Source organism: Homo sapiens, chromosome 4 (assembly GCF_000001405.40).
Source record: "Homo sapiens chromosome 4, GRCh38.p14 Primary Assembly".
NCBI lineage: Eukaryota > Metazoa > Chordata > Mammalia > Primates > Hominidae > Homo > Homo sapiens.
The window spans coordinates 8,888,289-8,902,412 of NC_000004.12; the positions used below are offsets into that span (position 1 = coordinate 8,888,289).

General features: G+C 58.0%; 1 annotated feature.

The window, feature by feature from the left end:
• Positions 3,501 to 4,500: an enhancer, noted in NCBI's record as "H3K27ac-H3K4me1 hESC enhancer chr4:8893515-8894514 (GRCh37/hg19 assembly coordinates)". NCBI's record gives its function as "activates a minimal SCP1, AML or CMV promoter by ChIP-STARR-seq in naive and primed H9 embryonic stem cells {active_cell/tissue: H9 hESC(naive and primed)}" and the evidence as "EXISTENCE:reporter gene assay evidence [ECO:0000049][PMID:30033119]".

Here is a 14,124-nt window from a genome sequence, read left to right on the forward strand (position 1 = left end):
CCTTCCCCAGTACCAAAGGGAGAAGCCTGGGGCGGCCGGCCCTCCCAATGCAGACAGCGCGCCCAGCCTTGCTGCACCCAGCCCAGGAGGAACTGAATGCCCCAGATGCGTGCTGTGCCGGGTGCTGGGTACCAGGCGCTGGGTGCTGGGTGCCAGGTGCATGCTGTGCTGGGTGCCGGATGCCAGGTGACAGGTGACAGGTGTGTGTTGTGCTGAGTGCTGGGTGCTGGGTGCTGGGTGCCGGGTGCTGGGTGCTGGGCCAAATGCCCTCCCTACACAACCGGGCTGGATGCTCGGCGACCCCGACTGCTTCCAGGGCCTTTTCTTGGCCAAACTGATGCAAAATGATTGAAGCCAAAAACCTCCTGAAAGCAGGTGGAGAGCTGGCACTGAGAGATGTATGGGAGTCAGTCACCTCCCGGTTACCCAGCGCCTGGTCCTCATGGTCCCTTAGAGTCTGCCACCCGGCTCCACTGTGGAGGAAAATTGAGCCTGAGAAAAGAACGGGTTTGCCCCGATTTCCCAGTGCTGACGCCAAGCTGGGTGGGACCTCACAGCTACAAACCTGGCCTCTTCCCCTGCGCAGGGAGATCTGCACCTGCAAGAAGGGGACTGAGCAGGTGCCTGAGGGCCATGCGTGGAGTCTGCCTTTCCTCCAGGGGATTTCGTTTAGATCTCCAGGGGGATGCACTGTGCTGCACAGGAGTAAACGCGGTGGAGAAAAGGAAAAAATAAACCAGAAAGGCAAGGGCAGCAGGGGCCTTGGACTGCCACGCTCAGGGGCCACCCAGTAACTGTGCCCCGACCATGTGCTATCCCACCCCCACAGAAGTAGCTTCCTTTTGTTAAATTGCTACGAATTCTCTCCGCCCCTTGCCTCTCTGGGATCTCAAAGACCCTCCCCCAACTTCTCAGAAGGACGTTTGGCTGCTGCGCCAGGGCCCCATAAACCCCGACAAGACTCGGTCCTGAGCCGCTGCTGCACAAGGTTGGCGCAGGGAGGGAAATGGCAGGTGGCAGTGCCTGCCCCACAGGGCCCAGAACCTCCAGCACCCAGCAGTGATGTGCACCCTCGTTGAGCTTAGCTTCCCTTGAAATCCTCCACTGGGTCTAGTAAATGGTGGGGTCCCTCCCGCACTCATTCATTTATTCCTTCATTCCCAATCTGTCTGTGCTGGGCAAAGTTTGATGAGTGAGGCTTTAGCTGTGAACAAGTCAGTACAGTTTGCAGACGTCATACAAATAAGCAAATCAACGTGCAAGATCACGATCAATTGTGACAGGTAAACCTGGAGCCAGGCTCACACCCAGGCTTTGCCAGGAGAAAGCAGAGGTCCTGGGAGGTGGTGGCACTCACCCAGAGCCACCAACCAGAGGAGGCAGAGGCTGGATTTACTTTAGGGGTCTCTAAAACCATCCTAACAGCTCCCAGGGCCAGAAATCCTGTTTACTCCCCTTAAATGTAAATGTCCAGGGGCGGGGCGGGGCGCGGTGGCTCACGCCTGTAATCCCAGCACTTTGGGAGGCCGAGGCAGGCAGATCACGAGGTCAGGAGATCGAGACAATCCTTGCTAACACAGCGAAACCCTGTCTCTACTAAAAATACAAAAAAATTAGCCGGGCGTTGTGACAGGCGCCTGTAGTCCCAGCTACTCGGGAGGCTGAGGCAGGAGAATGGCGTGGACCCGGGAGGTAGAACTTGCAGTGAGCCGAGATCACGCCACTGCACTCCAGCCTGGGCGACAGAGCAAGACTCCATCTCAAAAAAAAAAAAAAAAAATGTCCAGGGTTATCCCCGGGGGAAGGAAGGGCTGAGGCCAAGAGGACAGGGTCATCCCCAAGCCAATTATCTTCCAAAATGGGTGGGGGGAGTGGATTTGTCAAACCCTGACACTCACCCCTGCCTGGCGCTGTCAGAGCGCTCTCAGACACAGCACCCCGCCTTGCTTTTCCCAAGCCTGGCTGCCCCATTTTACAGAAGCAGCTCAGGCAGGGCCAGGGAGCCCAGCGACAAGGGGATTATCTGTGCTCCAGGGGACTTAAACTGTCTTCATGTCACTGGATGGGGCTGCTGGGACCCAGAATTAGTGCGCCAATTCTGTATCTAATCGCTTGCAGCAGCAAACTAGGCAAACCTGACAGCTGCTCCAGCTGGGCAGAGGCTCTCCCAGGTGCCCCTGCAAGCTCCACTCCCCAGGACGTGAGCTGGCATTTTCACAAATTGAGGTAGGCCAGACAGTGCTCCCTGGAGAGTGGAGGAGGCATGGGGGGACTTGGTCTTCCTCTATCCAGCCCTGGCACCATCCCCCCAACCAGGTTGTTCTTTGGGTCTGGGGCATTGCTGCACTTCCTCCTCCTCTCCAGTCTCTGCCTGGCTGTGCCCGGGCAGCAGGGGCTTCTCAAGCTTGTTCAGCCTTGAATACAACCCACCGCTCTTTGAGCCAGTCCTGGCTCCAGGAGGGGTTCCATTTCTCCACTGTCCAGCTATCTCTTGGACTGGGAGGTGTGTCCCAAATGGCTGACTAGACTCCAAGTGAAGTGCACCCGTTTCACTGTGTTTAGTGTATTTTGCTGAGTGACCTGAGCCTCAGGTTTCTCCTCCAGAGAATGGGTGTAATGATGATGATCCCTAGCCGGGTCTGCTGGTGCGCACCTGTAGTCCCAGCTACTCGGGAGGCTGAGGTTGGAGGATCGCTTGAGCCCAGGAGGTCGAGGCTGCAGGGAGTTGTGATCAAACCACTGCAGTCTAGTCTGGGTGACCCAGCGAGGCCTCATCTTCAAAAAAAAAAAAAAATTACTAATGAGTTCTACCTCAGTGCTGTTGCTGGGACCAACACTGTCCTCCCCACCCACCCCAGGTCGTGGTGGGTCGCCGGCAAGGCCTGGCTGGCCCAGGCACAGCCTCAGCCCCGCAGGCATTTCTGAACCCCTCCCCTAGCTGGGAGTAGGGAAAGCAGGCCTGAGGAGGCCTCACAGGCCCTGCAGCCCCTGCACTGCCAGTTCCAGGCTTCGGCTCCCCTCCTAACGCTGGTCCCATGTGCACCAAGTCCCAATGCTGTCCCGTCGCTGGGGTCTCAGGGACCGCTGTCTCCTCGTCTCCTCTTAGGAGCTCTAACTCCAAACTCCGCTCCTAGACTCGGTCCTCCAAACTCCAGGCGCTGCCTTCAAGCGCAGGCAGCAGCGGTCACATCTCCACTGTTCCCAGCACCGGGGAAATGGCTTTCGTGTTGCTCACACCCAGCTCAGATGCCCAGTCCCCTTCCCTGACCTCAGACCATACAGCAGCGTTCTCTGTGTGCTTTACACCACCACACCCCTAAAAGCTCCCTGCGAGAGCCACTGTTTGCTTCACTGCTTCGCCCAAAACCGAGAACCCGCGGCTCACAGACGCTCCATCCTATCCGCGGACAGAAACGAATCCGAGCCGCAGCTGCACGTTTGAACCCCGCAAAGCCACTGTGAGCCGGTACTGAAACCCCAAGGAAAAGTCGGGGTTTGGGGGCGGGATCCTTGCCCCATGTGGGTTGGGAAAAGACGGTGGGAACCTTCGGGACTCTGGAGTGGTGAAATGACGGGAGAGGACACTCAACACTCCCGACTCATGCCCTTCAGAGCGGAGCTCTGACCTGGCCTCCTCCAGGCAGTCTTCCCGGCTGCGTCCTGCCCTATCTCCTCCTCCCCAGCTCGGCGTTTGCAGCCCCGCTGGGCCGCGCGCAACTGGAGCGCCAAGTTGCGTCACCTGAGCGCTGTTACCGTGGTGCCCGGTCTGACCGCGTGTGCGAACCCAGGCGTCTGCGACCGCGAAGCTGCGAGTTGTCTCGGGCCCTCCCGGAGCTGCGGGCGGCTCCTCGAGAAACTCAGAGAGCCCAGGCGCACCACGGGCCAGCCAGGACATCCCCAGGCGGCCCTGTTAGCCCCATTTTATGGAGGAAGACTGAGGCTTTGGGTTGCATGGGACCCGCGGTTACCCCGCAAACACAGACGCTTACGAAGACGCTATCGCGAGCCGAACAGTCTGGAGGAACTACACTCACAGTAGCTCCTCCACTGGGTCTCCGCGTCCTCGCTGGCCTAACTCCGCAAACACGCCCTCCCCGGACGCAGGCTGGGTTTGCCGAGAAGTCTTGGCGGCGAAAGAGCGCAGGCAGCCAGCCCAGCAGGGCCCGCCATCTGCCTCCCCAGCCATGCCATCCCCTCCCTCACTCCACATCACCCCTCCCCTCCCCCCACGCCACCCCCTCCCTCATCCCCACGCCACCCCTCCCCTCCCCCCACGCCCTTCCCCGGCTGCCGCCCTCTCGGAGGCGCCCGGGGCCCCGGGTTCCCGAGAGCGGCGGGGGGTCCAAAGGCGCGGGCACCGATGGCGGGCGGGGCCCTCCTGGGTCCTCTGCCCGCCGCCACCCCTCGGCCCACCCCGCCCGCAGCATCTGCGCGTTTTAAGCCGGATAAGACGCTTCCTTCCCTGTTTGTCTGGGTTTCTTTCTCGGTTGCTCAAGGCTCTGATGTGACCTCTCCAAGAAAGGACACCAATGGCCGCGCCCCCGCCCCACGACGCTGCGGACAGCAAGCCGACTCCCCCCACCCGGCCGCCTGCCCCCTCCCCGCGTCGGTGCGCGCCTTGGCTCCGGGAAACGCCTGCCTCCGGTCGGTCTAGCGCGGCGTGTGCGAGTGCAGCCCCCGCGGGGACGTGGGCACCAACAGCAGGCGAGTGACTACCGCGGCGCAGTTCCCGAGGACCCAGCGCCTCTCCCGAGGCCACCCTCCCGGGCAGGAATTACTGTCTGCCGGCCCGAAGCCGCCACCCCACCCGCCGCCCTGTTTCAAAGTTGGGGAGAGTCCATGCCGCGACGGAGCGAGCAGACTTGGACATGGTCGAGTGCCTGGTGCGCACGATTGGTCTTAAGAGTTTAGGGAAAAAAGCACGCGGGGAAACCACGCGGGGCCCGGCGCGCTCTCGTTTCCCACCACTGCCCCCTTCCCGGGCACCGTGGGCCGCCGCTGTTGCCCGTCCCGCTTTCTTCTCGCCTCGGAGCACCGGGTCCCCCGGAGTGACCTACTGCAGCCGAGCCCCGGCGGTCGGGGGCTTGCGCTGGGTTTTGGGACGCGGTCTCAGACGCTTGGCCCTGTGGCCCTACCCATCGGTTCCGGTCCCAAGAACGGTGCTCTCCTGTGCCTCGGGCCTTTCCCGGGGCGCCGGGCCGCGGCAGGAGCGACCTCCGCCCGCGCTACCTTCCTGCCCTGTGGCCTACCTGGGTCCCCCTTACACCTCTGCTCGGTGCAGCCCTGAGCCTCGGTTTCCCAGACGGCGCAGCTGAGGCTCTCGAGGTGACGAGAGGCTGTGGGGGTGAGGTCGCAGCCCTGCTCCCTCCTCAGTTCCGCCACCCACCCCTTCGGTAGTAACGCCGTTCTCAAAATGGGCCCAGGGCCCCTTCCGGCCAAACACAGCCTGGACTCCTGGGCAGAGACCGAGCGCGGCAGAGGTGGCCCGAAGGCCGGGTTGCGGGGGATCCCGGCCTCTGCCCAACTGCCCCGGAATCTGGCAGGCAGACACGCTGCGCCACTGGGGACAATGCGACCCCAATGAGCTGGCGCTCCCCTCTGGCGAAGGACCAGGTGGCGAGGTCGCCCCTGTCGTGTGGCCCAATGCGTTACCAGCAAGAACAAAGTCCCATCTTAACTGCTCTTCGCGCGGCTTTTGACCTTGGGTCGGGGCTGCGTCTCAGCGCTCAACAGCCCCGCTTCTCCCCACGGTTTTAAATTACCGGAACGAAGCCACTGCCAGCGGCGCCTGCACGGGGAGGGCAGGGAGCGCTCGGGGCGCATTGGGACCTCGAGTACCTTCACCCTAGGGAGTGCTCGTCCCCAGCCCGGCCTCTGCGGCCGCCCCCGGCCCAGCCCGTGCTGTCCTCATCTTATCGCGGCCCGCCCCGGCCCTGCGCTCCCGCCGCTCCGCAGCCAGGTTTCTCCGCTGCCGTCCTCTTCCAGGGCCAAGGGGCCGTGGCAGACCCGGAGCCTCCCGGAGGCGCTTCTGCCGGGGCGGATTATCTCCCCTCTCCCACCAGGCCCCGGCGGGGGGCACCAACTCGCCCCGAAAGCCGAGAAGCGCTGGAACTCCCCCTCCTGGCCCCCTCCTCCGCTTCTGTTTGTTTAACCTTCCGGCAGGGCGGTGACCCTGCGCCCTGCCAGGCGCTGCCATGGGGTCAGGCGGGGGTGGGGGGCGCCTCAGGGGTCCGGCGGCGGCTGGGAGTCCCCCGAGCAGCAGAGACCCTCCTCCTGTCTCCTGTTCTGCCCATCGTGGGAAGTGTCCCAGGCCTGGTTGTGCCAGAGGCCCTGGGCGACCTTCAGCAGTGTCTTAACTTCTCTGGGCTTTGACCTCTGGGGACAGAACACCCCGCCCTCAGTGAGAGGCCCTGCTCTAGGCAGGTGCGGCTACATGATCCATGTGGCCCAGTGCAAAATGAAAGATGGCCCTTGCTCAAAAACTCAAGAAATATTGTGACTTTGAAGGCAGCAAACACAGAGGAGGGGCCCTTCTGAACGGGGCCCTGCGGGACTGTACAGGTCCCTTGAGCCCATGGAGCTAGCCTTGACTTCTGGACTAAGACCCCCCACAGAGAGCCTCCACCTGCGCCAGCGGCAGGCCGTTCTTCCCTTGTGCACCCTGAGTGCTCAGTCCTGGGCCCTGGGCAAGGTGGGGCTGGTCTCAGAGGGGCTCAGGGAGATCCCTGCAAATTAGGGCCGCCCTTGTCCTGCTGCTGCTCCCCAGGCAGCTGCCTGTGGGCTGTCCTCTCCCCCTGCGTTGGGGACTCTAGGGGCACAGTTAGGGCTAATGGTGCAGTGTCACCCTTGGCCCAGCCCTCTGCAGGGATGTCGAAGGTCTACCCTGGAGATCTGACTTAACTACTCTCAGGAGGTAACAGGTAGGGGTGGGAGGAGGGCGGGGCGGGAAGAGGGCCAAGGTGGATGATGGTGACTGTGACTTAGAGGAGGCAGGGCCCAGGTTTCTGGAGCTGGGTCTGCCAAGGGCCTGGTCTCAGGGCCACATTCTGGGTGTGTTTCTCAGGCGCTAGTTTTGCCTCCTGAATGTTGGGGAGAATAACTCCCCCTCCCAGTGTGGGGCAGGGGAGGGGCAGGGAGGGGTGGGGTGCTGTGCGCACCTCGGGTGGGTTCCCCTTTGAGCCTCACAATGATGACGTCACCCCCATCTGGAGGACAAAAACTAGGAGGCCCAGGGCAGCTGGGTAAGGGGTCCAGAGTCACGCAGCCCACAGGCCCCAGGTCCACAGCAGCGCAGGGTGGGTGCCTGTGCATTCAGGCCAGAGAGAGCAGATTCTGGGCCTCGGGCTCAGGGCCTATGGGATGCAGGGTGGCCTCTGCCACCCAGAGTCCCACAGCCAGGCACCCTTACCAAGCCCAGGCAGAGTTCAAGAAGCTCAGGGACTCTAGGGGCACTGATGGGGCTAATGGCCCATATCCCCCTGGGCCCAGCCATGGGTCTTGGAGCTCTCCCAGTGACAAACCAGCCCCAAAAGCTGAGCAAATGGCCTGCGACAGCCGCCCGAGGAGGCCCTGGCTTGGACCCAAGACCTCTTGTTTCTCTGGCCCCAGAAAACGCTTCTGGGTTCTGAGGATTAGGTTCTGGGAGGAATCCAAGCTCTGTGGGAGAAACTTGGGCAAGGCGCTGGCCCCTGTGGGCCTCAGTTTACCTAGCTGTAAGGAGTGGATGGGGTCTGAGTAGGAGCAGACAGGCAGGTGGATCCACAAGATGAAGCTGACCTGGAGATAATTCCCCAGCCCCTCCTGGGAACGGTGGCCAGGCAAGCGCTCCTGGGCCTCCACACCCCATGCCCTGGCTTGGGCCCGCTCCCTCATACACAGCCGATGTATGACAAGTGTGTGGGCCCTGAAGAGGCCCCTGGGCTCTCAGGGGTTCCGGGAAGCACACTAGGACTTTGACGGTGGCATGTTCCATGCTAACAGGGTGTGGCGGGCCTTCCAGCTCAGTGGGCAGGTCCAGGAGTCTACCAGCTCAGCGTGGTGCCCCGGTCCCAGCCACCTGGAGCTGCACAACAAGCTGAGTCCTTGCTGGCCACCAACACTGACGCAGGCCCCATCCCTCCAGCCTGACCTCAGGAGGCTGGTGGGCAGGGAGCCTAGTCCCTAGGCCAGGTGGCCCTCCCCCCCAGCCACTGTGCCTGCTGTGTTCTAGGGATGGAGGCCTGGGGACCTGCAGGGTATGGCAGTGCCCAAGATCATGGTTCTTTCCACACTCTGGAGGTTGAGGAGGTGGGGAGTGCTGAGAAGAGGCGCTGTTGAGAGACAGACATCTCTGCTTCCTGGTGATTCCTTCAATAACCGGGTGAAATAACAGGCCAACCTCAGTTCACTGAAGAGGAAACAGAGGCCCAGAGAGGTTAGGGAACTCACTTAAGGGCACACAGCAGCAGGAAGAGGTAGATTTGAATTTGGGACATGGCTGCCCCCTGCCACCTAGCCTCTGCACACACAAGTGCATGCATACACACACATATATGCGCACACACACACGTGCACAGTGATTGAAACACAGATTTAGACCTTGGGCATGCAGGGCAGAAGGCCCATCCGAGAAGATGCAAACACAAATCCATTTCCTTCAAGTGTTGATTGATTTCTCTTCAAGAACGCCTGCATTATGCAAGGGGCTGAAGGTCAGCTGATTTAAATGGAAATGAGTTCGGGAAAAACAAATCAACACAGCTCCAGGTTCAATTCACTGGAAAAGCACATCGCCTTGAGTTACTCAAGGAATGACAGGGCCATTGTAGAGATAGCTGGACAGCCTGCTCACCGTGCTTCCGGGGGTCTCAGCCTTGGAAGATCACCGTGCTTCCGGGGGTCTCAGCCTTGGAAGATCACCGTGCTTCCGGGGGTCTCAGCCTTGGAAGATCACCGTGCTCCCGGGGGTCTCAGCTTTGGAAGATCACCTTGCTCCCGGGGGTCTCAGCTTTGGAAGATCACTGTTCTCCCAGGGGGCTCAGCTTTGGAAGATCATCCTGCTCCAGCTCCCAGGGGGTCTCAGGCTTGGAAGATGTCTCTGGAGTTGCTGGGTCCTCCATGAGTTCACTTATCCTGGCTGGAGCTGGGGGTTACCACGGAAACCTGGAGGGACTTTTCCCCTAACAAGTCTTTTTTTTTTTTTTTTCCCAAACAAACACTTTTTGGAAGAGTTTACCCCGAAGTGTGGCTTGGGTTTTGCATCTCAAGTGGTCTAAGCAGCTCTATAGTCTCTGCAAAAGAAAAACACATATTCCCTCCCTCTGTCCTTCCCACCTTCTCGCCCTCCCCTCCTCCTTCTCTCCTGTCTGCCTTCCTTCCTTTTCTCCTTCTTCCTCCTTCCTCCCTCTCTTCCTTTGACTGGCCAGTCATCAGGCTGGTTTCTGGAACGGGGCAGGGAGCAGACAGCCAGGGCCATTCCCATGTGGCACTCGTGGCCGTGACCTCACTCGTGTTCTTCAGCTGGCCTGTGAGGCCACCGTGCTGTCTTCATTTAGAAGTGCAGACGCAGAGTCCCAGAGAGGTGGAGTGATTTGCCCAAGATGGCCCAGCAAATGGGTTCCTGAACCTGGCAGCAGCCCCTCTGCCTCAGGCATTCCCTCCTCTCCAGCTCTTCTGGCAAGTCCCTCCCTACCTGCTTTGTGTCCTGCAGCTGGTCTGGGCTGACTCACAACCCCAAGCCTCGGTGCCTCCTCCCTGCCACGCTGGGACTTGCCTGCACCCTAGGGCACCGACTCTTTGTTAAATGATGTCTTAAACATTGTGGGCAGCGTTTACATCTCACTTGGAGATTCTCGGGCCTCCTTGGGCAAAATCTGCCACCTCTGCTCTGTCCCATCATGGTCCTTGGCACGAGTCCCCCTCGGATCACCAGTCCCTGGCTCCCACCTCCACTCACTTGGACTAGCCTGAAGGCTGACCTAATCCCATGCTGGGCCCCAGCCCCCAGAGCACAGAGCCAGGCACATGCAGTTGCTGTCATTCTAGATGGGCCCGGGGAAGTAAAAGCATTTCAAGCCAGAAGGGCTGGGGGAAGGAACGACAAGGGAGAGGAGCTACCTCTGCTGTATTGTGAAAGACGGAGGTGACCAGAGTGGAGGGACATTGGGGTCTCGAGAGAAGAGAATACCGGGAAGTTAGCTGAGGACCCCCTGAGGCAGGAAAGGTAACAGGCAGAGGAAGGAGGAAATCGAGGCAGGAGGAGCCAAACCCGGAGTTTGCCCAGAAGAGCGGAATTCCTCCCCATCCACATCATCTGTAGCCTGTGGTTTTGATTACCTTCTGGCAGTCCGTAGCGCCCCTTAGGAGCTGAAGCACTTGCGTTTCCATCTGCTGATCAGACATGGGAGGAAACCAAGACAAATAAGACGTCCACATTGTGGTGGGAGCATGTTTTTGGCTCTAGATTTGAAATTAGCATAATGTTTGTCTAAAGCTAACAACAGTACATTCTTCCTGTCTGGAAACGTGTTAATGATCTTAATATTTAGGAGAAAGTGTCTTCAGATGGAGAGAAAGCTGGCTCCCTGCACCAAGATTCAGTTTGCTTAGAGCGATTTTACTGTCATGTGTTTTCTTGGAGGAACCAGAGGGAGACATCTGGGTAGTTTATCATCATTTCTTTGAAATACCTTTATATCTTTAAAATATGTGCTTCCTGCCCCCAGAGCTGTTGGATCGTGAGGACATACAGGCCACACCTGAAGGCTGCTGGCATCCTTCTCAGGTGCTCTGTGGCTTAGCTCTTTGCTCTCTAACAGGTGAGGAATTATTCAGCCCATTTTACAGTCATGAAGACTGAGCCTGAGGCAGAGTGACCTGCAGACCCAGGGTTACATAGCCCTGGCAGGGACTCGGGTGCGGCCCAGCTCACCTTGAGTTTACTTTTTTTATTTTTTTTTTGAGACAGAGTCTTGCTGTGTCACCCAGGCTGCAGTGCAATGGCATGATCTCGGCTCACTGCAACCTGTCTCCCGGGTTCAAGCGACTCTCCTGCCTCAGCCTCCCGAGAAGCTGAGGTTACAGGCACACACTACCAGCCTGGCTAATTTTTGTATTTTTAGCAGAGACAGGGTTTCACCATGTTGGCCAGGATGGTCCCGAAATCCTGACCTCAGGTGATCTGCCCGCCTCGGCCTCCCAAAGTGCTGGGATTACATGCATAAGCCACCGCGCCTGGCCTGAGTTTGCTTTTGTAAGCAGCCTTGAGCATTTTCTGCTGTCCCTGGAAGGGGGCCCAGCTCTGCTCGGCAGTTGTCCAGGGCCGGCTGCGCTAACAAACACCAGATCCAGAGCTGGGGGTCTCATCTTCAGTGAAATCAGCCACAGCAAAAGGTGTTGGCAGGTGCAGGTTTCCTGAAAGCCTAGGGTTGATAGGGAAGCAATTGCCTCTTGCTGAAAGCATTTTCTCTTGGAAATCTCAACCTGTCCACTCTCCTCTGGAGAAGCGGGGAGCAGAGGCCATACGGCCATAACCAGACCTTGTCCTTCCCTGCTTCACCCCAGAAGGCACCCTGGGCTGGGATCCGAGCTTGGACTCCATCCCTTTCCCAGTTTCCATCTCGCCTCGAGGCAGCCCTCTGTGCTGGGCCGAGGCTTGCATAGCCGTCAAATGGAGCCTCAAAGTGGCTGAGGGTCACAAAAAACATCTGTGACGCTGCTGACCCCAGTGTGGGTTCAGTCATTCAGCCTTATGGGGTCCTCGTGGCCCCGGGTACAGCCTTCCTCACTTCAGAGAGAAAGGGCTTTGAAAGCTTCTCTGGCTCACAGATCGTCAGGGCCTCACTACTCGAGCAGAAAACGCTGAATGGATTCAAAGCTGAATATTTGGTGCTGTTCTAACCCATCTCTTCTTGATGATCTGAGTTCCAAGATGTTCTCTGGAACATCATTCCTGCAAGGCTTCTCTGAAAAAAGGACCCTGTGGCTGCTGAAGCCTGGGAGATGCCATACACTGGGCCCATCCCCACCACTAGAGATCTGTGTCGACCCTGAGCAAATTAACCGCCCTGACCTCCCTGCAGAGACGGCCTTCACTGCAGTGAGCCCAGCCTGGCATGTTCCGAACTCACGGGACTCAGACCCCTTTCCCCATCACTTTTCTTGTTCGGGGTCCCCTCAGGAGACAGAAACCACCCATCGTTCTAACAGAGAGTCCCGTGTAGAGAAGGGGTAGCTTGGTATTGAGGGATGGAAAGGCAGAGGGACTCTGAGACGCCATGGAGTAGCAACCTTGGGAAGCCGCTGCCACCCCAGGGCTGGGAAAACATGGCGAAGCAGAAGGAATTACTCCAACTAGGCAGCTCAGAAGAGGGGCGGTGGAGTTGGGCCCCCGATGACTGAGGGCCTGTGGGCTATGCCTGTTTCTGAAGGGCCAGGAGGTTGGCCCAGTGAGCGTAGGGATACCACTAACAGAAGGAGGAAGGAATTTCCCCTGCTGCGGTGAAGAGCATTGCCATGGTGACATTCCTGCCAGGCCAGCTCCCCCTAGCTCTGCCTGGGAGCAGAGCCCACTAAGTCAACGGTGGTTTTTCCTGCAGATATAAATTACTGCTATGACCCAATAGATTTACCTCTTAGAACTTGTTCTGCAGTGGGCAGGTCTATGCAAACCTCCCCCAAAAGTCTGGGAAAGCTGAGAGGCTGACATATCCCATTTCTGAGAAAGGAACATTTAACATAGCCTTAGGGACATAAGACGCATCTGTGTGTTGGATGGTGGTGATGCAAGATGGTGGCTCCCTACACCAGAACCCCCTGACCCAGCACTTAGATGCCATAGCGAAAGGTATGCAGCCCTTTGCTGGTTCCTTCTGAAGCTGCAAGGGAGAATCTGTTCCCAGCCTCGCTCCGGCTCCTGGGGCGGCTGGTGGTCCCCCATGTTCCTTGGCTTGAGGAGGCATCACCCCAACTTGTGTCTTCATCTTTACCTGGCATCTCCTGTGTGTGTCTGTAACCAGATTTCCCCCTTTTTAGGAAGACGCCAGTCATGCTGGATTAGGGCCCACCTGCGCCAGTGTGACCCCATCTTAACTACATTGACAGTGACCCTGTTTCCAAATAAGGTCCCATTCTGAGGTCCTGGGGGTTAGGATGTCAACATATGAATTTTGGAGAGACAAAATGCAACCCACAACACTTCCTGCTCAGGACACAGAGTAAGTGGGAAAACCTTCCCCAGAGGGAAAACCTTCCCCAGCCTTCGGTACTGTGGAGGCTGAAGGAACTCCGTCTTAGATGCTAATCTGCCACGTTGACTTCTCACTCACTCTGGTTCCAGGAAGGTCTCTAAGATCTCCAGTTTCTCTATTGTTCCTTGCGCTTACCATAAATCTTGCCCTTAGAGCAATTGTCCTACACATCCCTTCTGGAGCACGTCTACCCTCTCCCTGTGGCATATAACCCCTGGGTCTGAGGTCACGGTTCAGGGAGCCACCCTCTTGTCTTGCGGCCCCCACTGAGACACAGATGCAGCTTCTGTTGCCCAGTCTCTGTTAAATGTTCCTTTCTGAGAAACTGGGTATGTCAGCCTGTCTGCTTTCTTGGACTTTTGGGGTAGGTTTGCATAACTTGCCCACTGCAGAACAAGTTCCAAGAGGTAAATCTATAAGGTTAGGCAGTAATTTATTGCTGCAAAGTTTCTGACTTCTGGCATCCTGAACTGTGAGACAATCAAATTCTGTTGTTTGAGCCACCTAGTTGGTGGTGTTTGTTATGGCAGCCATAGGAGGCTAAAACAGGAAAATTACAGTGATTGAGGACAAATAAAGGCCTGGATTCTTGGTTTGCCTGTTTGGAGTTTCAACTATTGAAGAAACGGTTGTTAGACAAGAGTACGAGAGAGATTTCCATTCCAGCAGATTCACAGAGGAGCTATTCAGAGAAGGACCGTCATTGCAGAGTTCCCAATGGTAGATGAATTACAGTAGGTATGCTTTTAAATGCATTGCTGAATTTCCAGCAAAAGTACAAGTACACTCACCCTTTCACTCAGCAATGCCACTTCTAGGAATGTACTCCAAAGACACGCTGGCAAGGTCACAAAGCAATTTCTGCACAAGGCTACTCATGACAGGATTATTTGTCTGA